A 25,885-nucleotide genomic window follows, 5' to 3' on the forward strand; every position below is an offset into this window, starting at 1 on the left:
AGTAATCATGTCACAACTGAAATCTGGCAGCCCTCTTTTGCTCAAAACCCCAGTGGCTTCTTCTCTCACCTGGTATCAGCTCAAAAGGCCTTCAGTTTTACACAGAGAGCCCTTAAACTAACACCACCTAATTTCTGAAAAGCTGCCCCTCTATTTTGACACAAATAAATGGAATAAGTATACAAACAATTAAGAAACAATGGTAAATCTGGTGGCATGAGATGATGGTCTAAATTCATTTAACTCACACCTCTCCCAAATTCCCCGTGAAACAACCAGAGAAATGTAAAATTGGAGGAAAAATCTTCAAAGCAATAACTTAAAAGCTAATGAGGGCAGAGCTAGCCTACCAGAAGTGCTGACCAACCCAAAACTGAGCCTACCTGGGGGTAAGCAACCTAAGGCTCAGGTCAAGGTGAGGGTATACATGGCAATTCTCACATCTGCAAATACATTCTGAGACAGGTACTTTGAAACATGCAACAAGAATGTACAGAAGAGAACACCAACATGGCTGGATCTTAACAAGGATCGGTGTGCCACAGAGAGGAGTGAAACTGTGTCCCAGACAACTTTAGGAAAGAAACGACTGTTTCAGAATAACAAACATCCGTGCCCCATAGAACTTCCTGCTAGAGCTCTCTCCTCTATCATCATGGGCAACTGGCTGCTAATCTGGCAAAGGTTAAGGTACACTGTATAAGTATCACCTTATCTCTTACGTTAATGTAGGACTGAACATTTTAAACAGTAACATATATAATTTCTAAAGATAAAGTTATAAATACTATTTGGCAATTAGGAACAAAACTGTTAGAAATTTGCAGCTGAGGCCGGGCGCCGTGGCTCATGCCTGTAATCCCAGCACTTTGGGAGGCCGAGGCGGGCAGATCACGAGGTCAGGAGATCGAGACCATCCTGACTAACACGGTGAAACCCCGTCTCTACTAAATATACAAAAAATGAACCAGATGTGGTGGCGGGTGCCGGTAGTCCCAGCTACTCAGGAGGCTGGGGCAGCAGAATGGCATGAACCCGGGAGGTGGAGCTTGCAGTGAGCCAAGATCGCACCACTGCACTCCAGCCTGGGCGACAGAGCGAGACTCCATCTCAAAAAAAAAAAAAAAAAAAAAAAACTGTAGCTGAAACTTGTTTAAAACATAGATGGTCCCTATGATCTCTAGCTAAAAGGGTATTACAGGACCTTGATTCCACATTCTTTAGGGGAAGCAGGAAGAAAAGCCCTGGCAATATTCTTCTCTCTGGTGGAATAGTGCTTCCTATTTCACTGTCAACACTCAATTTATTCCTTTTCTGTCAGTACATCTTTATGAAGCTTGGCAAGCACCCATCCTTTGTCTTACGGTACTGCACCCATCAGTGTACAAGTATGCCCTTTATCCTCCCTTCTCTGATCCTCATTAGCCCTACCGACCCATTTCACTATTCCACTTTATAAAAAAATTTTAAAAACAAGGTTGCACTTGTACTAATGCCACTTCCTCACCTTCTGTATCTTCTTCAACTCTGTGTAACCGTGTTTCTGCCCCCTCACTAATTCACTGAAAATCCACGTCTAAGGCACCTTGGCTTACTCAACCTCTAACAGCATTTTACACAGTTGACTCATGAAACACTCGCTATACTTTTTTAAACAAGAAATACTGTTTCCAAAGAGCATGTAATCACATCATGTGGGGTGGTGGTGTTCTGTGGGAAATAATGACCCAGAAAACATAAAAAGGTTATAGCTGTGAATACTGAGAGAACTGGGTCAATAACCTATATCTGGTAACCAGGGGCTATCAAACGAAGAAAGGGAGTAAGACCCCACCCCAACAAAAGGGTGGCTGAGTGGGAAAACCAGAAGAGATTTAATAATGCTAATGAATCGTTGCAGTGTCGGAGCTCATGCATGCAAGTCCTTATTGTAATATCTATCCGGGTGTAGACAGCAAAAGCCTCCATATTAACTGTGGTGGTGGCAGTAGCGCAGCAGTCTCTCTGGTAAGCACCTGTGAGCTATGGCAGCTGCTGATCAGTTATTTGGGGAAAATCATTTTGAAATTACTGAATTGCAACTGTGAAAACTAACCTTTTTCAGTTTTATACTTCTGGAAAACTACCTTTAGTAAAAGTGCCTTTTTTATTTTTTGGAGACAGAGGTCTTGCTCTGTCACTCAGGCTGGAGTGCAATGGCACAATCATGGCTCACTGCAGCCTCGACTTTCCAGGCTCAAGCCATCCTCCCACCTCAGCCTCCCATGTATCTAGGACTACAGGCATGCACCATCATGCCCGGCTAATTTTTTCTATTATTTTGTAAAGACAGGATGGGTCTCGCTATGTTGCCTAGGCTGGTCTTGAACTCCTGGGCTCAGGCGATGCTCTGGCCCCAGCCTCCCAAAGTACGGGGATTACAGGTGTGAGCCACTACACCCAGACAGAAAAAGTGCTTTTTAGAAATTAAATTATCTAGGCTGGGCGCGGTGGCTCATGCCTGTAATCCCAGCACCTTGGGAGGCCAAGGCAGGTGGATCATGGAAGTCAGGAGATTGAGACCATCCTGGCCAACATGGTGAAACCCCATCTCTACTAAAAATACAAAAACTTAGCCGGGCGTGGTGGCAGGCGCCTGTAGTCCCAGCTACTCAGGAGGCTGAGGCAGGAGAATCGATTGAACCCAGGAGGCGGAGGTTGCAGTGAGCCAAGATAGCACCACTGCACTCCAGCCTGGGCGACAGAGCGAGACTCTGTTTCAAAAAAAAAAAAAAAAAAAAAAGAAAGAAAGAAATTAAACTATCTGAACTCCACAAATGAAGTTAATATGAAACAAAATCAGGTTCCAGGTTTTTGTAAAGAATCTCTAATCAAGGTACCATGTTGTATTTCTCTCCCTTACTCTACCTGACCCCTCCTCAGATAAACAGACTGGCTAAAGATAGTGTATTAAAAGTATTAATGGCTTCATATTTAATTACATGATTATTGCTGACACTGAAATGCATGACTCAGATGACAGAATGGTATAAAACTTTTCTAATTAATTTTATCATAGTAGAAACTTAAAATATATTTGAAATACAAGATTTAATACATTAAATATATAAATATAACTTCAAAATAATTATAACATCCTCACTAATTTAACAGAAACATCAATGTTTAAACTACACACTAAGGGCAGGACTTCTGTTTTAACACTTTTTGCTTGCCTATTTCCCCCAATCCTGAAATATCTTCCATACAAGTAAGAAAACACACCTGGTTTCTGCCTCTGCGTTTCCCATAATTCCTTCTGACGAGGGCTTTATAATTCTCATTTTTCTTGGTTAAATAGTAATACAAAACACAATCAGGAACACTCTGTAAGAAATAAAACAATTATTTTTGAGGATCCAATGAAATAAAGAAATTTTTTAATTAAATATTACTTCCAAGGAAAATCTCTGGTATTCTGAAAGTAAAATTAAAGAAAAAGAACAACATACATTGCTAGCATTTTAAGGCATATCTAGGCTCTAAAATTATTTACATTATAGGTACTATTTTAATAGACAGTTACAGTTGTTAATCCAAATTATGTGAAAGATGCCAGGAACTATCAGAAACATTCAAATATTTTCTTATTAACAAGTAAATTCCCTTTCTGATTACATACATGCAAATTTTTAAAATGTCTTTAAATATTTTGTTCAAAAACATTAAAATCAACTTTATATTAAATATGGAATGATTCACAAATTTGCTTGTCATCCTTGCGCAGAGGCCATGCTAATCTCTGCATCGTTCCAATTTTAGTATTATGTGCTGCTGAAGCGAGCACGAGACTGATATTTTAATTAGAAATTTAATGAGGCTCCAAAAGCATTGTAATCTATGTGTTTTAGGGAAATAAACATCAGGTCATCTTTCATTAACCATTTAGTTCTGTGTTCTGTGTTACGATTTCTCTAATAATTGTAATTATCATTACATTAATCACATGAGACTCTTCGCAGTCTTTTTAAAATCGGTTCTAGTTAACTACTTATATGTGTCAGAGCACAAGAATTTCAAAGTAACAACCATCACAAACCTACAAACACTCCCAATGCAAACCATGTCTTACCTTCCTCTCCAAGTATGATGCAATTAGTCCAAAGTTTTTTGGATGCTGGATAAACCTGAGTGAAAACGAAAACAAAAACACACTTGCGTACAAATATTTCAACAACTAAAAAAAAAAAAACTTGGGAAAAGAAAGACTATGTATAGGCTGGGCGTGGTGGCTCATGCCTGTAATCCCAGCACTTTGGGAGGCCGAAGAAGGTGGATCACTTGAGGTCAGGAGTTCAAGACCAGCCTGACCAATATGGCAGAACCCCATCTCTACTAAAAATACAAAAATTAGCTGGGGATGGTGGCACATGCCTGCAGTCCCACCTACTCAGGAAGCTGAGGCAGGAGAATCGCTTGAACCCAGGAGGCAGAGGTTGCAGTGAGCCGAGATCACAACACTGGACTCCAGCTTAAGCGACAGAGCGAGACTCCGTCTCAAAAAAAACAGAAGAGAAATACTATGTATAGGGCTTTCTAACTGCCAATCTGAGGAACAATTGTAGAATCACTGGAGACTTTTAAAGGGCACAGATTTCTGGGCACCATACACCAGGAAATGATTAGTCTACGGTAATACATAGAAATCTGTACTTTATAAAAGCTCCCCAAAAGTTCAGCCAGCACCCAAGTTTGGGAACCACTCTTAACATGACTCCATAACCCCAGTTCTTATCTGTTACCTCTTTTCCCACCTATAAACTTACAGGAAGATCAATATTCTCTACTTTTCACAGTATTGATTCAAACACCAAAATGGGACCAAGTTTTTGTGAAAACAGTTCAATTTACAAGTAAATGCCAAATACTTTTTACTAACTTATGTAGATGTCTATTAGAGAATAATTTAAAATATAAATTACTTGTCCTTAAAGATCTCCTTTTCATGGTCAGTCCAAACATTCATAAACTGCCTATCTTTATACACTTTCATAGGGTCCTCCATAAGCCCATTCATGTTAATGAACTTGACTCGTCTTTGTTCTGCATCAAACATCATAGGTGGAATCACAGAGAGCTGCCGCATTTGTTTCTCATTATTCTGGAAAAAAAATACAATTTACTTAGAATAAAACATAAACTAGAAATTTAAGGAGGGCCATGGACCAATGCTCTTAATGTGCACTAAAAAACCATGTATGCAGTTTAATAACAATAGCAGTGTATACCACAGCATCTAACATACAATAATTACTCATATATCTAATAAATATTCACTGTATGAATTACAGAGGCAGAGAATATCCATATCGTTTTTTAAATAATCTACTCCTTTGAGAAGAATTCTTTTCTTAAACTAAGCTGATACTTAACATAATAAAATTTTAGACCTGGAAGATAAAAAGTAATGTCAAGTTCACTGAAGTGGTGACCTTATGGAGCATTTAATTATCATATTAGTCTCATTTTTTAAAGTCTCAACATCATTTTATAGAACAACTTTTACCGTCATATTACAGAACAATAAATAGAAAAATAAGCAAACAGGCATCAAAATTTAAGTCAGCGATTTTAAATTAAACTCACTTTACTATTAAACGCTTCTTGCTAATTTTACATCATCTTTCCATTGAAAATTTAAGGTTGTTATTCTTAGAAATGAAGCTTGTTTCAACTAAAACTTTGTTACACGTGCAGAACTTATTTTTCCCAAAGTTTAACTGAGGAAATTTTTAAGTACAAACTTCTATTTAAAAGCTTTTACCCAAATTACAAGTATTTACCCAAATATAAGAAAAGGTATTTCCCTAAAAATTTTCCTCATAAAAGTGGATACTGCCTAATAGTCAAGTCCTTACAAAGTCTCTAATTTCCTGGGACACTCTCAATCAGTTTGAACACTATAGTGTTTAGACTGAAATTACACATTAGATTGAAATTACCTCAATACATAAACTAATTTTAGATGCTTACAAATGTTTCCTCATGGAATCAGTCAAAGAGCAAATAAAGAAATTTAACAGAGATTTACTCATCATTGTAGAAATAATGGCTACATATTCCAAGGGCTGAATGTCATTTCAATCATGTACTTACAGATGTTTCCTCATGGAATCAGTCAAAGAGCAAATAAATTTAACAGAGATTTACTCGTCATTGTAGAAATAATGGCTACATATTCCAAGGGCTGAATGTCATTTCAATCATGTACTTTAGAGGTAATTTTAAAAGCAATATAGAGTAAGTGGTTATGTTTTAAAGCTCTTGATTATACTGCTACAAAAGAAATGAAAAATTGCTGGGCACAGTGGCTCACGCTTGTAATCCCAGCACTTTTGGAGGCCAAGGCAGAAGGACTGCTTGAGCCCAGGAGTCCAAGTCTAATCTGGGCAGTATAGTGAGACCCCATCTCTACAAAATAATTTTTTTAAATTAGCTAAGTGAGAGGCTGGGTGGGGTGGCTCACACCTGTAATCCCAGCACTTTGGGAGGCCAAGGCAGGTGGATCACCTGAGGTCAGGAGTTTGAGACCAGCTTGGCCAACATGGCAAAACCCTGTTTCTACTAAATATACAAAAATTAGCTGGGTGTGCTGGCATGTGCCTGTAGTCCCTGCTACTCGGGAGGCTGAGGGAGTAGAATCGCTTGAACCTGGGACGCGGAGGTTGCAGTGAGCCAAGATCGTGCCACTGCATTCCAGTCTGGCTGACAGAGCGAGACGCCATCTCAAACAAACAAACAAACAAACAAACAAAAAGTTAGCCGGGCGTAGTGGTGTACCAGTAGTCCCAGCTATTCAGGAGACTGAGGTGGGAGGATCACTTGAGCCCGGGAGGTGAAGGATGCAGCAAGCCAAGGTCACACCATTGCACTCCAGCCTGGGTGACAGAGTAAGACCCTATCTCCTATCTCAAAAAAAAAAAAAAGGAAAATTCACTTGTCCTGATATTATGCAATAGTATGTGCAATATGTATTTAGGGCTTGAGATAAAATTTAGCAATGATAACATCATAAATGTATTCCAAAAGAAGTACATCTCCGGGAATCTGGGCACAGTGAAGCTGGTATGCTCTGGAACACTGATAACTCAAAGGTGTCTCTAGAAATGGCTAAGATCCTGAAATCATATAACAATGCACTGAAAAGCTTGAGTGTGGGATATACCTCTGACTAAATATTGTAATTGTCCCTAAAGAGTTATGTATTTCAATGCACCAAAAATCACCTTGGAATCCTCTCTTTGGGAAAGGAGAATATCAGAAATAAGAAAGGAAAGAAAAACCACCTGTAGAAGTCTATTTTGATCAGTATAAGAACAATCTGAGAAGTAAAATGGTTTAAGGAACTCTGAGATATAGTTTATATAGTTCTATACCTCCTCCAGGGCTAGTTTAACTAGAATTCTGAAACACAGTAACTTATAAGAGCATACTATATACTTTTATAAGAGCATACTATATACTTTTATTTAGTTATGAATGCAAAACAGGGTATCATAATTAAATACTGATAGAATCCTACAACATATATCAACACAAAGACAAACTCTGTACAAAGAGGCTATTTTTTCATCCTGGAGAAAAACTTACTGCAACTGTCTCACAAGTAATTTTTCATGAGATCAAGCAACTTGATGGTTTAATTTACCATTGTATTCCCAATGCTTAAAGGAAAGTTTGGCACATAATAGGCTATAAATATTTGTTGAAAGAATAGACTTGATTGAATATAGATATGGAAAAGAACACACAGTTCCAGAGTCAGACTGCCTGGGTTGAGTATCTGGCTCCACTATTTATTAATTTGTAACCTTGGGTGAATTATTTAACCTGCAGCTGGGCTTTAGTTTCTTAACTTGCAAAACAGCCATTAATTATAGCCTCCATTTCACAGAATTTTCACAGTTTAAATAATACATATGAGGTGCTTATCACAATTGGCAATTTTAAGTAGTAACTACCCCTCAAACTCCCCCTCCTCAAAAACCAAAGATGTAGTTAGTCCACCATAACCTAAACCAACAATACCCATAGAAAAAGGAGAAAAAGTACTGGCTAGGTTAACTAGTAGTAAAGGGTAGAGCAGAGGAAGTCATAACACTGCTTTTTACTTCTAAATGTGCTAAGTAGTATGAAAACAGGAATTTTACTTATCTAAATTATTTCTAAATCATTGAACATTTTAGATTAAATCCACTTCACCTAATTTTGCAAATCGAGTATTAACTGTATATTTAAGTCTACTTAACATTTATTTTGAAGTATACAGCATGGTAAAAAATATCTTTGATCATTACTTAAGGCCACTATTTCAAATAAACAAGACTCTCAGAATTTTGAGATGAGGTTTAAGAAAAGGCATATAATAAAATCAAAACTAGCAAAACTCAGTCAATACTAGATGGCTTTTGGAACAATCTTGAGAGTTTGAACAGGGCTAAAAAGATTCAATGTTAGAAATGGAAATTTATTCTTATTCTGCATTTATTTATTAATATCCAATTAAACACTAGGCAACAGGAACTCAAAGATAGCCTGACCCAAAGGTTTAAAATAACCGCACTCATGAAGATGACACTTTAGCTGATCATAAATATTTATTAAACAGAAAGAGAAGCACAATAGAAATAAATGTAAACTGAGACTAGACATTGAGTTCTGTTTTGGGAAAGTGAGTGAGGAAGCTTCACAAGGGAGGAAATACTGCTTTTGGGTCTGAAGATATATTTGTCAAACATATACCTTGGTCTCTACTACCTGTTTCATAATTTTATTAATTCTGCTCTTTATACAGGCAGGAAATGCCTGAAAAACAAAGTAATGCCACTTGCTACAACACAGTATCTTCACCTTAAAAATTAGTGAAATGGCGTTCTTGTTCATAGATGAATCTCCTCCATATATAAACTTAATCTCTATATTCTCATTCACCTGCCCCTTTCACTTCATGTTACCATACTTACCTGGGACTATATCACCTGCAGACAGATGACTCTGATATCTAACCATCCCCAGTTCAACTCTCTCCCAGGTTCACTTGCTAGACAACACCCTTTGAAGAACATACTGCCATTTGTAAAATACATGCTCCTTTGCTACTTTAGGAAACGGCACCACCAGCTTACTCCTCTAACCTAGAAACAAGGGAGTCACATTCTATTCTTCCTCTTTCTCATCTCCCACATCCCATCCATCTTGGCCTGTCCATTCTACCTTTCTATTACACTCGCCTATACATCCCTACCACTGTTGCCCTGATTCAGAACCTTATTTTTATCCTAACAGCCTCCTCACCTCTCTCCAGGTCTCCTTGCTGCCAAAGCCATCTTTGTAAAATTCCAGTATGATCGTGTGACTGCCTCGTTTAAAAACCCTTTAACAGACACTCAAATCTTTGACAGTCTAAACTCTAGCACTCAATTAAGTTCCCACATTTACATACAAAAAAACCCTTAGCTCCTACAGAGTTAAAATGCTTTAATAATTAACGAATTAACTTGAATTAAATTTATTTTCTTACCTCCTGCTCAGAGAGCCCATCAATAATTTCAGAAATCTCATGCTCACTCCTAGCAATGGTGGCTGAAAGACCAGCTCCCCTCTGCCCAACTCTAAACATGAGGGAGAAATTAAAAATATATTTAAAGACCTTATATAAAGACATATCAATTAAATTAACTATAGATTACTTTTCTGAATGGAACTTTTTAACCAAGTTAAGAGAAGAAACATAAAATACTATTGAGTATATACTTTTAAGTAATATGCTGTGTCACCTATTAATAACAATTTAAATGTTACGATTGAGATTTGAAGGTTACATGTTCATGTTCAAATGGTGGAACTAGTTAGGGAAAACTTCTAGAAAGTCATAATTATTGATGCCAATTCCATTTCAAATGGCATTCTTTGTATGCCCTGTAGTAGACTTAGAAAAATACATGAAACATTTTTAAAAGGAGAGAAAAAACTCAACCAACATCCCTTACAAAAATTTAATTGTGAGTTAAGGGGCTTACATGACTCTTACATGAGACAATAAAAAAGAAAATTAAAGCTTTTAAAATCTTTGTAAAATATCTGTTTGCTAAAAGTAAAACAAATCAGAATCTATCAAAGAATTTCTTAATTGGCCATCAGCTGAATATAGTTTGAATATGTTGGTAACGAAGGACTAAAGGATATTTAGGTCTGTTCTTACTCACTGTCATGTCCAAAGGATGTAATACTTTTAGGAACTTCAGAATTAATTTCAAAATAATCACTTACATTTAGATTCAACAGGATAATATAAAAATTAAATTTACTAAGACATAATGTTTACTGGTTGATAATAAAGTTTTCTTTTCAACATAAAAGTTCTTTTAACTTTTAAGTTAGTGGGTACATGTGCAAGTTTGTTATATAGGTAAACCTGTGTCATGGGGATTTGTCGTACAGATTATTTCATCACTCTGCTATTAAACCTAGTACCCACTAGCTATTTTTCCTGAACCCTCTCCCTCCTTCCATCCTCCACCCTCCACCTTCTAATAGGCCCCAGTATGTGTTGTTCCCCCTATGTGTCCACAACATAAAAATTCTTTATAAACTTTCTTCATGATCAGTTTCAAGAAACAATAGCTCTCCCTCTCCCTCTCTCTCCTCTCCCTCTCCGCTTCTCCCGCTTTCCACGATCTCCCTCTCCCTCTCCTCCCGCTTTCCACGGTCTCCCCTCTACCTCTCTCCTTCTCCCGCTTTCCACGGTCTCCCTCTGTTGCCGAAGCTGGACTGTACCACCATGATCTCCTCCCTCTCCCCTTCTCCCGCTTTCCACGGTCTCCCCTCTCCCTCTCCCTCTCTCCTTCTCCCGCTTTCCACCGTCTCCCTCTGTTGCGGAAGCTGGACTGTACTGCCATGATCTCCGCTTGCTGCAACCTCCCTGCCTGATTCTCCTGCCTCGTGCCTGGGATTGCAGGTGCACGCCACCACGCCTGACTGGTTTTTGTATTTTTTGGTGGAGACGGGGTTTCGCCGTGTTGGACGGGCTGGTCTCCAGCTCCTGACCGCGAGTGATCTGCCCACCTTGGCCTCCCAAAGTGCCAGGATTGCAGACGGAGTCTCGCTCACTCAGTGCTCAATGTTGCCCAGGCTGCAGTGCAGTGGCGTGATCTAGGCTTGCTACAACCTCCACCTCCCAGCCGCCTGCCTTGGCCTCCCAAAGTGCCGAGATTGCAGCCTCTGCCCGGCCACCACCCCATCTGGGAAGTGAGGAGCGTCTCTGCCTGGACGCCCATCGTCTGGGATGTGGGGAGTGCCTCTGCCTGGCCGCCCAGTCTGGGAAGTGAGGAGCGTCTCTGCCCGGCCGCCCATCGTCTGGGATGTGGGGAGTGCCTCGGCCCCACCGCCCCGTCTGGGATGTGAGGAGCGCCTCTGCCCGGCCACGACCCCGTCTGGGAACTGAGGAGCGTCTCTGCCCCGCCGCCACCCTGTCTGGGAGGTGATGAGCGTCTCTGCCCGGCTGCCCAGTCTGAGACGTGAGGAGCCCCTCTGCCCGGCAGCCGCCCCGTCTGGGAAGTGAGGAGCGTCTCCGCCCCTTCCGGGAGGTGGGGGGCAGCCCCCGCCCAGCCAGCCGCCCAGTCCGGGAGGTGGGGGGCAGCCCCTGCCCAGTCAGCCGCCCCATCCGGGGGGTGGGGCGCCTCCACCTGGCCGCTGCCCCGTCTGGGAGGTGTGCCCAACAGCTCATTGAGAGCCGGCCAGGATGACGATGGCGGTTTTGTCGACTAGAGAGGGGGGGAAATGTGGCGAGAGTAGAGGGAGATCAGATTGTTACTGTGTCCGTGTGGAGGGAGGTGGACATGGGAGACTCCATTTTGTTCTGTACTAAGAAAAATTCTTCTGCCTTGGGATGCTGTTAATCTATAACCTTACCCCCAACCCCGTGCTCTCTGAAACATGTGCTGGGTCCATTAAGGGTTAAATGGATTAAGGGCAGTGCAAGATGTGCTTTCTTAAACAGATGCTTGAAGGCAGCATGCTCGTTAAGAGTCATCACCACTCCCTAATCTCAAGTACCCAGGGACACAAACACTGCAGAAGGCCGCAGGGTCCTCTGCCTAGGAAAACCAGAGACCTTTGTTCACATGTTTATCTGCTGACCTTCCCTCCACTATTGTCCTATGACCCTGCCAAATCCCCCTCTCCGAGAAACACCCAAGAATGATCAATACATACTAAAAAAATTTTTAAAAAAAAGAAACAATAAATATTTGAAGAAAAATATCACAGTCATTAAACATCAAACTACTCACCGCTGAAATCTTTCTTGCTGTTCTCTTTGTTTTCGAATTTCTGGAAACTGCTTTTCATAGTATTCCCTTGTTTTGCTTTCTTTAGCTTTCCTCCGAGGATTATTTTCTATTCTGTCCACTTTTTTCTCCCATGCCTCCATGAGCTGATCATAACGCTGGCAGATTTTTTGTTCCTATTAAATATCCGTAGCAAATTAATAATAATTAAACTAAACTCTGATTCTGACAAACCTAATACTTTAAAATAAATGCTACTTCTTAAGGTTAAGTCAGAAGTACATTTGGCTTATGACTCAACTGTGAACGAAAAGCACAAAGAGGAGAGAGGAAAGGTAGCTCTGTTTCCTACTAAGATCAACACATAGAGCACAGGTTGGCTGGATTTTTTAGTTAACATTAAGACTATGCATATTTATAAACTACTTGACACCTACTACTAGTAGTAGCTGACCAGTTACTTTTATTTTGCTTAAAACATTATGTCATTGTTGTCCCAAAAAAATGGAAAATTAAAAATACAAACATGTAAATAGTTCATAATCTGACCAATTACCCAAAGGCAACCATATGAACATTTTGTTGTTATCCTTCCAATCTGCGAAACAAAACACACACGCTTTAACCGATCTATTATTGGAGGTTCTGGTTGATTGCCATTTTTTGCTATAATAAATAATGCTATATAACAAACATTTTGACAGTATGAAAAAGGCAGAAAATGGTTGGTTGTGCTTTATCATAAAAAGAAATCCAGGCTGGGCGCAGTGACTCACACTTGTAATCCCAGCACTTTGGGAGGCCAAGGCAGGTGGATCACAAGGTCAGGAGTTTGAGACCAGCCTGGCCAATATGGTGAAACCCCGTCTCTATTAAAAATACAAAAATTAGCCAGGCGTGGTGGTGGGCACCTGTAGTCCCAGCTACTTGGGAGGCTGAGGCGGGAGAATCGCTTGAACCCAGGAGGTGGAGGTTGCAGTGAGCCGAGATCGCACCACTGCACTCCAACCTGGGCAACAGACAAAAACAAAACAAAACAAAAAACAGAAATCCAGTGAACTACGTGAAATTGAGAATTAATGCTTTTAGAGAAGTAAGTGAATTATGATACCATTTTCTAAATAGAGAAGAAAAGACAGACGAACCCTCCATTATGGACAAAGAACTGTCAACATATCTGATGACACATGGACAGAGGAAAGTGAGGAAGGGTTCATGAAAAACTGCTAACATGGTCATCTTAAGAAAGTGGCATTGGAGAACAGAATATTATCTTTCTCACATTCCACACCACACCCCACTCCCACTTCTCAATTACTCCTATATGTCTTCTGTGTCCTTCATCTTTTCTCCTTTCTACTGCTACCCTTATAATCCAGGCCAACACCATCCCTCACCTAGATCAAAACAATAGCTCCCATGCATTCTTAATGTTGTAGCTAAATGCAAATTCTTTTTTTTTTGGAACCAAGTTTCACTCTTGTTGCCCAGGCTGGAGTGCAGTGGCGCGATCTCGCTCACTGCAACCTCCGCCTCCCGGGTTCAAGTTATTCTCCTGCCTCAGCCTCCTGAGTAGCTGAGTTTACAAGCATGCGCCACCACGCCTGGCTAATTTTGTATTTTTAGCAGAGACGGAGTTTCTCCATGTTGGTCAGGCGGGTCTCAAACTCCCGACCTCAAGTGATCTGCCCTCCTTGGCCTTCCAAAGTGCTGGGATTACAGGCGTGAGCCATTGCACCTGCCCCGCTAAATGCAAACTCTTAAAATGCAAACCCAAACATTATGCAACCTCCAGGACAGTATACAACCTGGCTCTGGCTTCCCTCAGCAGCCTCATTTCTCACCACACTGCCAGCTCAGTCTACACTCCCTCTGGCTCCCAGACCTTCACTTAAGCCACTCCCTCTGCGTATACAAGTTTGCAGAGAATTGGTTTTCCCCTGAAATGTCCCCTCATAATTCCTATCTGCCTTAGGTGTCCTCCTCAGTCATCCGTAGTCCATGACCACGGTGTGATCCAATACTAGGACTGACCTGTCTGACTTCCATCACCTTAGGCTCCCCCTAATTACTAAAACCATATGGCTATCTTGCTCACCTTTGCAGAATAATATATGGGACAGAGTACACAGCCAAGTGATATTTAAGCAAATCGGTGAAAATACAAACCTTACAGTGTTTGCATCACCAGTGAACTTATTTAGTGAGTACCAGAATTACAACAAAATTACTTGGAAAGGAAAAAAAAATACATGAGCTAATTTCTTACTTGATATTTATATGTTCTTGGCAAAAAAAAAAAAAAAAAAAAAAAAAAACAACTCAAGACCAGTAATTTAAGACAGTATCTGATCAGACTGGCAAATTAGAACATTAGACGTTTTCCACCAAATAAAGCTGCTGACTCTTGAGCTTTACAACTCAAACTGTCAGGTCATTAACTTTAGGCACAAAGTTCATTTTTGATGTCGATTTAAAGAGTAGCATTTATTTAGCAGACACTTCAGTTTAAATGTATTAACAGTGTATCTGTAAAATTAGTATAAACATATTATGAAAATAAAATCACTGGCATTATATTTTCTATAATTTAATTCCCATGAAAATTATATAACCACAAAACTTTTGGACTGCAAGTCATAAAAAAATATGGAAAACCATTTGAATTTGAAAAAGCTGAACCCTAGCTGACCCCGTTTCTAATAAAAGAAAGAATAGTAATGTCTCATCAGCATGACTGCAACTTACCTACAACTGTTTGAGGCTTAAGAAACTAAATTATCTTTCATATTCTTTTAAACTACTCACCGTTTTATTTTGACTAAATGAAAATGTTCTAGAAAGATGACCAATGAAATTAATTTGATAATATTAAATGTAAGGTATGGTATCAAAATGTTACTAGAATTAGATTTAAGTCATATATATATATATATATATATATGGTTACTTTCTAAATCAGCACTTATCCTCAAATGGAGTCAAGGACCACTCTCATTAACAGTAGGAAAGTGAATGCCTAAATGAGCATGAATGGGAAAGCTGTATAAATTTCAGTTAACAAGGATAGGACCTCACCCTTTGTTTTCTTGCATGATTTCTTCTTTTAAAAAATAAAATGAGTTTTTTCCTCATCACCTGGTTTCTAGAAGAGAAAAATATGGTTGCATGACATTAAGAAAAAGCACAATTTAATAATGCATTCACTTTTTTTCCAGAGACACTGGAAAATAGGCAAAGATCACTTAAGAATTTATGATGTAAACAAAGTTAATCCTAATTTTTTTACCCTGCAAAATAAGATTTTATAACTTTTGCAAAAATTAGAACTGACTAAAGTTCCTCCCATTCTACAGTAAGACTTAATACAAAATAGTTAACTTTCAATTAGCACATCCAATTATAAGGCAAATATTTTCAAATTAAAATTACAGTTACTTATCCTTCTTAACAACTCTGGTGACATAAACATCTTACTCTTTGGAGAAGGGAGGTAGAAGAGAAGGAAACATTTTTACAGTTACCTCCCTACATCAGGTGCTAACCTCCCTTCTACGAGGAAAATGTATACCAACATATGTAGAGATAGGTGACTTCTGCTTTAAACAGAAGATTTTCTTCAGTCACAGAATGACACAATCCACTCTAAGAAGTAATGGAGGGCAATGTGTCAAAACAGGAAGATTTCTAATATATCTTAATCGCTTTTTAAATTGGAAGCATTGTGACCTTCAAAAACAATGACATGCAGGTTCAAGTATAAATATTTATACCCCACCTACTTCCAGAAAGGATTTCAAGCTGATTATTCAAATATAAATACAAAGCCAAGGCAAGTAGAAGTAATTTTTTGGATTATCTGCCACTCAGGACTAACAGTGACACTGGCTCCACTCAAATAAGTATGGACAAGCAGGAGCTGGCTATATGAAAAAGTAGCCAAGAGATGAAAAGAATTATTAAAATGTACATTTGCTATTTCATACAAAGCAAATGACGGTGATGAAAGAATAGCTACTGAATGACTCATACAGATGCATGCAGCTGAGGAAATATTCCAAAAGGTGTCGTACAGGGAAGCATTACCATATACTCAGTTTGCTATAATTTTAAGTATACGTTACTCAAAAGCAAATGACAATCAACAAATACAATCTTAAATGTTTCCTAGGAATTTAAATGAAGTCAGCCAGTCAGTAGTCCATCTAGGATAGTGTGCTGAGCACTAAATAGGCAATGTAGATGACATGAAATAAATCGGACAGAGCTGCTCTCCAGACTGTATCAGGAGAAACAGGACACAACACAAACATAACACTGAGGCTTTGTGGGAAAAAAAAAAAAAAGTCATTAAGTAGCCAACTAGATCTTATCTGCTCTTCTACTCTTTAAAAATGTTAAAACAGCTAAGCAGTTCCAAAGCAAGGTATATTATATGTGAGTTTTGACTAACTTACTTCTAAGGGTTCTCAAGATCATAGTAGCATCTCACAGAAAAATTGACAAATACATAACTTTTATTATGAACCACTTACTTAACAAAAGTTAAAATTATTCAAATTCAATTGTTTTCATGCATACTACCATGCAAATTATATTTGCCACCAGTTCTGCAAAGTAGTCAATAATTGCACATACTCTCAGTTAAGAAATTTTTAAAAAGAAAAAAATAAATATATATATATAAAATAAATAGCAATGTGCTCATTAGTAACCATACTAGTAAATAATTATGTTCTGCTTATACTTAATAAAACATATAAAGTAGAAATATCACATTTTTGTCACAAACTAAGAATAATGCACCTAAAATTCTCTTAAAGTATAATTTTTTTTTTAAAAAAAAGATATCTATCTAGCTTCCTCTCTTACTTCAATCAGATCAAGAAATTAGATTTTCTTTTCACTTATTTTCTTATTCCAAAATCTGCATCCATAAAGGCCTGGTACTAGGATGAGCAAGGCTAAGCAAACTACATTCTGGAGCAGCCTCGTCACCCACAAGGTGACTGAGCGCTTCCAAGGCACCAGGACATTAAATGGCAGAAGGGTCTACAAATACCGTCATTAGCAAGAGTCATGGAAGGGATTTCCCTAGAATAGGATTTTGAATAATGATAAAATGATCCGTGGCACTTCTACTTTGCAATGGCAGATGTGGCTTGGTGGGGGACGGTGTCATCACTAGTCTTAAATGAAAAAGCTTCATTATCTTACTTCATCATGCGCCTTGCAGGTACTCCACTGAAAAAAAGACAAAACAGGAGGCAAAAAATTCAAGCCTCAAGGTAAGCCATTTCAATGTTAAGTATCCACCTTTTTTACTAGCAGATTATAAAACCAGCTAGTTTTATGCAATAATTTATTTCATTTTTTGGCCTCGGAAACTCAAAGCTGTTACCCCAACCCCCAAGAAGCCAGAGGAAGATAACATATAATAAAACGACAGCAAATTACACAAATCTAAAACATACCTACAATATATTATAATAATGTCAGCAGATAACAAAAATGATCTCTTTATAGAATATACGGTCTTTAATTGAAGAACTCCAAAGATGATCAATACTTACGTCTTGATGTTCTCATGGTACACCTTGGTATCTGATGGCTGGTTATACAGTGGCTATAAAAGAAATCAAATATTTATGTATAAAATGTTGTACATATGTCTATGAAGAGACAAAGAAACATAATTTTAATGTAAGCACAGGTAAAGTACTAATGGATCTACACAATAACATGCCCTACCAAAACCTCCAAACTTTTATTTTTTTATTTACTTATTTTTTTAAATTATACTTTAAGTTCTAGGGTACACGTGCACAACGTGCAGGTTTGTTACATATGTATACATGTGCTGTGTTGGTTTGCTGCACCAATTAACTCATCACTTACATTACGTATTTCTCCTAATGCTATCCCTCCCCCATGCCCCACCCCCTGACAGGCCCCGGTGTGTGATGTTCCCCGCCCTGTGTCCAAGTGTTCTCATTGTTCAATTCCCATCTATGAGTGGGAACATGCAGTGTTTGGTTTTCTGTCCTTGCGACAGTTTGCTCAGAATGATGGTTTCCAGCTTCATCCATGTCCCTACAAAGGACATGAACTCATCCTTTTTTATGGCTGCATAGTATTCCATGGTGTATATGTGCCACATTTTCTTAATCCAGTCTATCATTGATGGACATTTGGGTTGGTTCCCAGTCTTTGCTATTGTGAATAGTGCCGCAACAAACATACGTGTGCATGTGTCTTTACAGTAGCATGATTTATAATCATTTGGGTATATATCCAGTAATGGGATCGCTGGGTCAAATGGTATTTCTAGTTCTAGATCCTTGAGGAATTGCCACACTGTCTTCCACAATGGTTGAACTAGTTTACACTCCCACCAACAGTGTAAAAGCATTCCTATTTCTCCACATCCTCTCCAGCACCTGTTGTTTCCTGACTTTTTAATGATTGCCATTCTAACTGGTATGAGATGGTATCTCATTGTGGCAAAACCTCCTAACTTTTAGATTCCCTGAGTAACTGTTAATCCCATCTCCTGTCACTCCCATAATACAGTTTATAAATCCATTGTTTCCCATAAGTATATTTATGCACAGATTTTTAATTTCAAAGTATTAATACTCCCTAATACTAGGGAGTATTAACCATTGTCACTATTTTAACAGTAACATTCAAAGAGCTTTCTAATTCTGTTCTTAATTCTCATTCTGCCTGGAAGGATTAAATAGCTGCTCAAGCAAAAACAAGCTCAGGGTGATGTTTCTGCAAAGGTCTGCAAAGGTAACCAAGTTCACTCATCATTACTTTAAACTTCATCTCAAGCTACATCTCTGCTCAGCTACATCTCTCTTATCCCAAAATAAATGGATCATATTCCATCTTATCCCAAGAAAAACTACCACCAAAAATTAAAAAAAAAAATCACTGGAAATGAAAAAATTTACTTACCAGTTCAACTTTTGGGCCAAGACCTTCAAAAATTTTATGAGCTTCTTCTGCTTTTTTCTAGAGATAAAGACATTGTTGTATCATATAATTAAAAATTACATTATCTAAGTGCAAAATAATTATTTAGAAATATTTATCTAAGACTAATCTATAGATGAACTTATCCTTATTTCCAAATATCCTTCTTCTATATGACAGGCTGAAATATGCTCCAGTTATTTTTTATTTTTTCTTAATTTGTAGTTACAATGATAGAAAACTCTGAAATTGTATTGTCATAGCTTTCCTCACCAAATTCAGTCAAAACTTAACATTTGTATTGAAAGCAATGCCTGAATAATAGGTAAGTTTTAAAAAAGCAAACAATTATATTAAAAAACTGGAGAGAGGGAATGAAAATTCACTATTAGAAATAAATCCCCCAAACATTCTACATACTTTAACTCATATCATCTTTAATAGAAACTTAAAGCAATAAAATACCATAAAATGGCCACTCTTTACTATGGTGAGCAACATTGATCTCTTTGAAGAAAAGCTGTTAATGAGCTAATTTTCTAGTTACAAGGAATCCTTAGTAATAGCTGAACAACAAAGAAAACCGCTAATTTGAATTATTCAAAGTGCTCAGTAGTTAAAAAATGCTGAATTATATGTATTTGTAATATGCTATTTCCTTTTTTTTTTTTTTTTTTTTTTTTTATTTGAGACAGGGTCTCACTCTGTCGCCCAGGCTGGGACACAATGGCACGATCATAGCTCACTGCAGCCTCAACTTCCTGGACTCAAATAATGCCCCCATCTCAGTCTCCCAAAGCTCTGGGATTACAGGTGTGAGCCACAGCACCCAGTTGCTATTTTCAAAAGTAAAATAATCCAGACCAAAGTGTTACCTAGCAAAAATCTTCCCTTGCTAAGATTAATCTATCAATATTTTGGCAACAAAAATTTTAACTTAAGACCCTCATATGTTCGTAATACAATTTGTATTCTAAGTCTACAGATAGAAGTAAATAATTCTTCAACATATGTTCGGTATGTTCTATGTGCCAAGCACTCACTAGACACTAAGAAAATAATGAATAAGATAAGCCTTCCCACCACAGGAAGATGAGGGGTCTTGAAAGTCTTCCTAGAGAAAATGATACTTGAACTGGGGCTTGAGGTAACAGTGTGCTTGGCAGAAAAGACAAAACACGGGGCCACCTGACAGCAGGGGCAACATAGCGGGGTAAAGATATTGCTAACAAGGGAACATCCAAAACCTCTTCTGGTGGGATATTACTAAGAAAAGAGTATGGGGCAAGGGCCAGGCGGGTAAGCATGTAAACATCAATAAAGGCTTCGGCTATTCTGTATAAAGTGGGAAATCATAAAAAGGTTCTATTTGGAGAATCATTAAATGGGACGAAAATATGAAAGATGGGTTAGAAAGAAAGGACTGAAGCGTGAGACTCAATAACTATGTGGGAGATGAAGGCTCAAATTAAGCTAATGATAAAGGTAGAGGAAAGAAGCGTAAGACCAGACCAATATTTAGGAGGTGGGACTAACGCTCTTCACTGATTACCTCAACATACATGAAGTGGCAAAGAGAGAGAACTGGATAATTCCTAGGATGCTGGCCTAGATGACCAGAGGTGCTGGCACAGAATATACTTCCTACCATCACCCTTTTCTTTCTTCTGAAGTCACATTCTCTTGCAAATCAACCCGTCAAAATATAAACAAGGCAGGTCATGGTGGCTCACGCCTGTAATATCAACACTTTGGGAGGCCTAGGTAGGTGGATCACTTGAGTCCAGGAGTTCAAGACCAGCCTGCTAACATGGTGAAACCCCATCTCTACTAAAAATGCAAAAATTAGCCAGGCATGGTGGCATGTGCCTATAATCCCAGCTACTTGGGAGGCTGAGGCGGGAGAATCACTTGAACCCGGGAGGTGGAGGTTGCAGTGAGCCAAGATCGTGCCACTGCACTCCAGCCTGGGCAACAGAACAAGACTGTGTCTCAAAAAAAAAAAAAAAAAAATACACACACACACACACACACACCCACAAAGATATTCTGCAAATTTCTCTAGTAGAGCCCAACAATAATCACTTTTCTATACGTATTATTCTTCTGAAATTAGAATATTTACAAATATTTTTGGAACTTACAACTGATAGGGTAAAATCAAATTGAACTGTTAAAAATAGTCTGTTTAGAGACTAAACAAACTTAGACTGAAATTTAACTATGATGCAAGTCAACTTTTCTCAGGAAGTCAACTTTAAAATTAACACGTTGGGGCAGTTTTTTTCCTCCCACTACCTTTCTAAATAAAAGAAATGGTCCCTCGATCTCTTAAGCCACACTTGGCTTAATTCCAACTAGTGTAACTGCTGCCACCCAAGAAATAAGAGGGAGGTGTACTTCTGTAATTACCCCATTCCTCCTTGCCTATGGTGCTGAAACAGATAAGCTCATTCATTAAAAAATGTTAAAAGAGGCAGGGAGGGCCTTTCAAAAGGCAGCATACTGGGGCAGAAAAAGCCTTGGGGAGTACATATCAGAAAGCCTGGGTTCTAGGCCCATTGTGCTCTCCTCCTCCCCTCCGGGAGCTCCCTGTTACAATTCTGAAACTGCACAGGTACATGTATAAAACATACATAAGAAAGAAAAGATGAGGCCAGGCATGGGGGCTCACACGTGTAATCTCAATACTTTGGGAGACTGAGGCAGGAGGATCGCCTGAAGCCAGCAGTTCAAGACCTGGGCAACATAATGAGACACTGTCTGTTAGAAAGAAAAGAAGGAATAAAAGAAAAGAGGCCTGGTGCAGTGGCTGACGCCTGTAATCCCAACACTTTGGGAGGCCAAGATGGGTAGATGACTTGAGCCCAGGAGTTCAAGACCAGCCTGGCCAACACGGTAAAACCCCATCTCTACTAAAAATACAAAAATTAGCTGACTGTGGTGGCTCACACCTGTAATCCCAGTTACTTGGGAGGCTGAGGCAGGAGAATTGCTTGAACCTGGGAGGTGGAGGTTGCAGTGAGCTGAGATTGCGCCACAGCACTCCAACCTCGGGGACGAAGCAAAACTCTGTCTCGAAAAAAAAAAGAAAAGAAAAGAAGGAAAGCGAAAAAAAAAAGAAAAGAAAAGAAGGAAAGGAGAGGGAGGAGGAGGGGGAGAAAAGAAAGGAGAGGGTGGAGAAGAAAAATGAAAGAAAAAAGAAAAAAGGAAAAGAAAGATGACTTCTATAGTTGTTGTGGGTTAGAAACAATCTTCAGTGTAGGAAGGCAAGTTTAACACTGAAACAGGTTTCAGATTTGGTTTTCTTCATAAAATAAACAACAAACCAAATATGGAAATGTTCAAACAGAAAGAAGAGGTGCAAAAGGAGTTTTCAAGTTTTGCTAATGTGCACCAAGAAACACTATACTAATTAATAAAAACATCTATATATAAAAATTAAACACCAATTAAATTCTCTATTAGATCAGATCTTGTTCAATAGTATTCAGTCCTCAAATCCCAGTGAGGCAACCACAGAATTCACTAATATTGTAAGACAAGGCTCATTAATAAATCCATTAATAATTATTACCAAATCCAATTTATTTGAAAAATAATTCATACTAAAAAAGAAACATTTTATAAAACTTAAAAAAAAAAACTATCAAATCTCCATTTGTATCACCACTAATTCCTATTTATTTTATCCCTGAGGTCACAGTCACAAACTGGCCATGGAGCCCATGAGCCCACAAAAGTGTTTTGCAGCTATGCAGAGGACTTTTTTTTTTTAAAAAAACAAATCAGAGATTTCACATAAAACCCCATTATTTTGGGCTTTTCTTAAACAAGGGAGCAACTGTATATCCTGGAACACAGCCCCCATCTTAGGCATGGTCACCTCCTTCCCTTCCTTTACTGGATTTATCTTCATGTAGACTGCTGTGGCCATACAATAAATTGGACTAATATTGAACCCAGCCAAGAAAATAATATTAATTGCCCATATTTTTACCTGCCCATAACACTTACCATTACCGTAAGTATATTTCTGATGACTCTCAGTTATCTACTTGATACATGTATATCTAAATCCAAGATCATTCCTATAAATGTGTATTTATTTATTTATTTATTCAACTTTTAAATTCAGGAGTACATGTGCATAAATATTTATTAATTCACAATTGCTTTATTTAAGGTCAATTTCCTTTCGGCTGTGGACTACTATAAAGTTACAGACTGTATGTGTAAGATAGACTGACAGATGAATCCACTCACTACAAATCAAATCAATCAAAACAACAATCCCAAATTTTACCTGATGATCATGCCTTTAGCTAAAAACCCTATTCTATCCCACAGTATAAAGCATATTATCATTTTTTGCACTGTGGACTTCTGGAAGCCCACTGTTAAACAGACACTTTCTTCATGTTGAGGTAAAATCAGTTTCCCTCTAACTGCTAGTTCCTGGGCCATATTCTGGCCAAAACTAACTTTGATACTACAAAAATGATTCATAGAATTCATGCCTGGTGTTTCTGAATCCATGAATATTTTTAATTAAGAGTATGAGAGTAAACCTAAAAAAGCAAAGTCTACCTAAAGGTCAAAATCTACCTTGAACTTTGATTTTTTTTTTTTTTGAGACTTGAGTTTTGGTCTGTTGTCTAGACTGGACTGAAGTGGCTCAATCTCGGCTCACTACAACCTCTACCTCCCAGGTTCAACCGATTCTCCTGCCTCAGCCTCTCGAGTAGCTGGGACTACAGGCATGCGCCACCACGCCTGGCTAATTTTTGCATTTTTAGTAGAGACAGGGTTTCTCCATGTTGGCCAGGCTGGTCTCGAACTCCTGACCTCAAGTGATCTACCCGCCTCGGCCTCCCAAAGTACTGGGATTATGGGCATGAGCCACCATGCCCCGCCTTGAACTTTTTAACTGAAGTTCAAACCATAGCCCAACTATCGACTGTGAACTAATGCTGATAAGAAAGTTCATTTCCACATGCAATGACCTATCTTTACTGAAATGTTATCAGTAGTCAGCATTAAACATCATTTATTAAGTGAAAAACTGCAGGATGGTTGTTTTGTATTATATGCTACCAAGCTTCCTTGCCAGAATTCATATAATAGGAGACTCAGCTGACAAAATTTCACTGATTAAATATTTATAAAATACATAATGTAAAATGAAATATTACATAATTTAAGGCACAACTGTAAACTTTCTTTCAATTGATAAGGAAAAAAACACCAAGCTTCAGTCAGCCAAAGTTTATGAACATTCAAAATTGTAAGAGAAATCAGGTTTTAATAAAGTTAAAATTATACCAGGATACATTCAAAACTGAAAAGGGCATCGTCAAGTGGGGTTAAAGGCCTGTGCTGCCAGAGATGGTATGAGCTTACCCGATTCTCATCATAAATAATTTGGACAATACTGCGGTGTTTCTGCTCCACAGGAGGAGGGGACACGGGCTTCTCAGGCTCAGGAGGTTTAGCTGCCTCTTCTTCAAGCTGTTGCTAAGAGATCCAGAAAGAAAGAGTCAAGCATGTGCTGCACACCACACCCAGCAGTGATTAACCACTGGAGATAACACAGGCTACTAAGCTTTGCTTGCAGATTCTGTAGGGTAACCAATTAATCCATGAAGGTCTCATGGACCAAGAGCTCAAAGAGAATTAATCAGATTTATTTCATAACCAAACAACACAAATTTTCATTAGATAGAGTTTAAAAAAAAAAACTAAGAGGAAGCATCCTTTAAGATTTTAATTCTGGGCCGGGTGCAGTGGCTCATGCCTGTAATCCCAGCACTTTGGGAGGCCTAGGCAGGTGGATCACCTGAGGTCGGGAGTTCGAGACCAGCCTGACTAACATGGAGAAACCCCATCTCTACTAAAAATACAAAATTAGCTGGGCATGGTGGCGCATGCCTGTAATCCCAGCTACTAAGAAGGCTGAGGCAGGAGAATCACTTGAACCCGGGAGGTGGAGGTTGCAGTGAGTCGAGATAACGCCACTGCACTCCAGCCTGGGCAACAAGAGCAAAACTCTATCTCAAAAAAAAAAAAAAAAAAAAAAGATTTTAATTCTGACAAACTTAAAGCAAAATAATAAGAGAAGTTAAATTTAATGAAGGTACTCTACATACCTCTATCACAATGACCTTTGACAGCACTGAAAAAACACTCTTATATGTTATAGATACACAGTATACATTAATATTTGCTGGGCAGAATATGGTAGAAAGGAGATCAAGGGTTAACCCTTAACTCAGCATGGCACCATGCCACCCTCAACACCCAATCTTCATGTGTTACAGTGCTCCGGTCAAAGGGCAATCAACAAAATTACAAAAATATAGACTATTGGTGTGTGCAAGTATAAAGAAAAAGCTAACTGTATTACCGTGCCTGGGTTTGAGCCTCAGGGTCACCCTTTACAGGTGGTGTGATCCTAGGAACCTTTCTGGGTCCTTAGGTCAATCTTTTTTTTTTTTTTTGAGATGGAGTCTTGCTCTGTCACCAAGGCTGGAGTGCAATGGCGCTCACTGCAACCTCCGCTTCCAGGGTTCAAG

General features: G+C 38.7%; 1 protein-coding gene, 1 non-coding gene and 1 pseudogene across 54 annotated transcripts in view, besides 1 other annotated feature; all 3 read right to left on the reverse strand.

Annotated features, from left to right (window-relative positions):
- Positions 1-25,885, reverse strand: part of NCOR1 (nuclear receptor corepressor 1) — a 186,378-nt gene that overhangs the window by 104,890 nt on the left and 55,603 nt on the right. For 38 of the 53 annotated variants that reach the window (XM_047437140.1, XM_047437134.1, XM_047437132.1 and 35 more), the window contains 10 exons: positions 24,714-24,827; positions 19,293-19,349; positions 17,900-17,952; positions 17,544-17,570; positions 15,405-15,471; positions 12,330-12,502; positions 9,560-9,650; positions 4,962-5,140; positions 4,112-4,166; positions 3,265-3,366 (listed from right to left, as the gene is read on the reverse strand). In XM_047437140.1, coding sequence (XP_047293096.1) covers positions 3,265-3,366; positions 4,112-4,166; positions 4,962-5,140; positions 9,560-9,650; positions 12,330-12,502; positions 15,405-15,471; positions 17,544-17,570; positions 17,900-17,952; positions 19,293-19,349; positions 24,714-24,827 — 918 coding nt within the window. The remainder of the gene's footprint in view (positions 1-3,264; positions 3,367-4,111; positions 4,167-4,961; positions 5,141-9,559; positions 9,651-12,329; positions 12,503-15,404; positions 15,472-17,543; positions 17,571-17,899; positions 17,953-19,292; positions 19,350-24,713; positions 24,828-25,885) is intronic. The other 15 variants (NM_006311.4, XM_011524086.4, NM_001439115.1 and 12 more) reach the window with 1 other exon arrangement.
- On the reverse strand, positions 3,722-3,826 carry RNU6-862P (RNA, U6 small nuclear 862, pseudogene; annotated as a pseudogene).
- Positions 10,797-11,305: an enhancer, noted in NCBI's record as "H3K27ac-H3K4me1 hESC enhancer chr17:16048157-16048665 (GRCh37/hg19 assembly coordinates)". NCBI's record gives its function as "activates a minimal SCP1, AML or CMV promoter by ChIP-STARR-seq in naive H9 embryonic stem cells {active_cell/tissue: H9 hESC(naive)}" and the evidence as "EXISTENCE:reporter gene assay evidence [ECO:0000049][PMID:30033119]".
- SNORD163 (small nucleolar RNA, C/D box 163) lies at positions 19,087-19,150 on the reverse strand. The gene has a single exon (NR_145787.1). It is a non-coding gene; the product is annotated as a small nucleolar RNA, C/D box 163 (small nucleolar RNA).

This window comes from Homo sapiens, chromosome 17, assembly GCF_000001405.40.
Source record: "Homo sapiens chromosome 17, GRCh38.p14 Primary Assembly".
Classification (NCBI taxonomy): domain Eukaryota; kingdom Metazoa; phylum Chordata; class Mammalia; order Primates; family Hominidae; genus Homo; species Homo sapiens.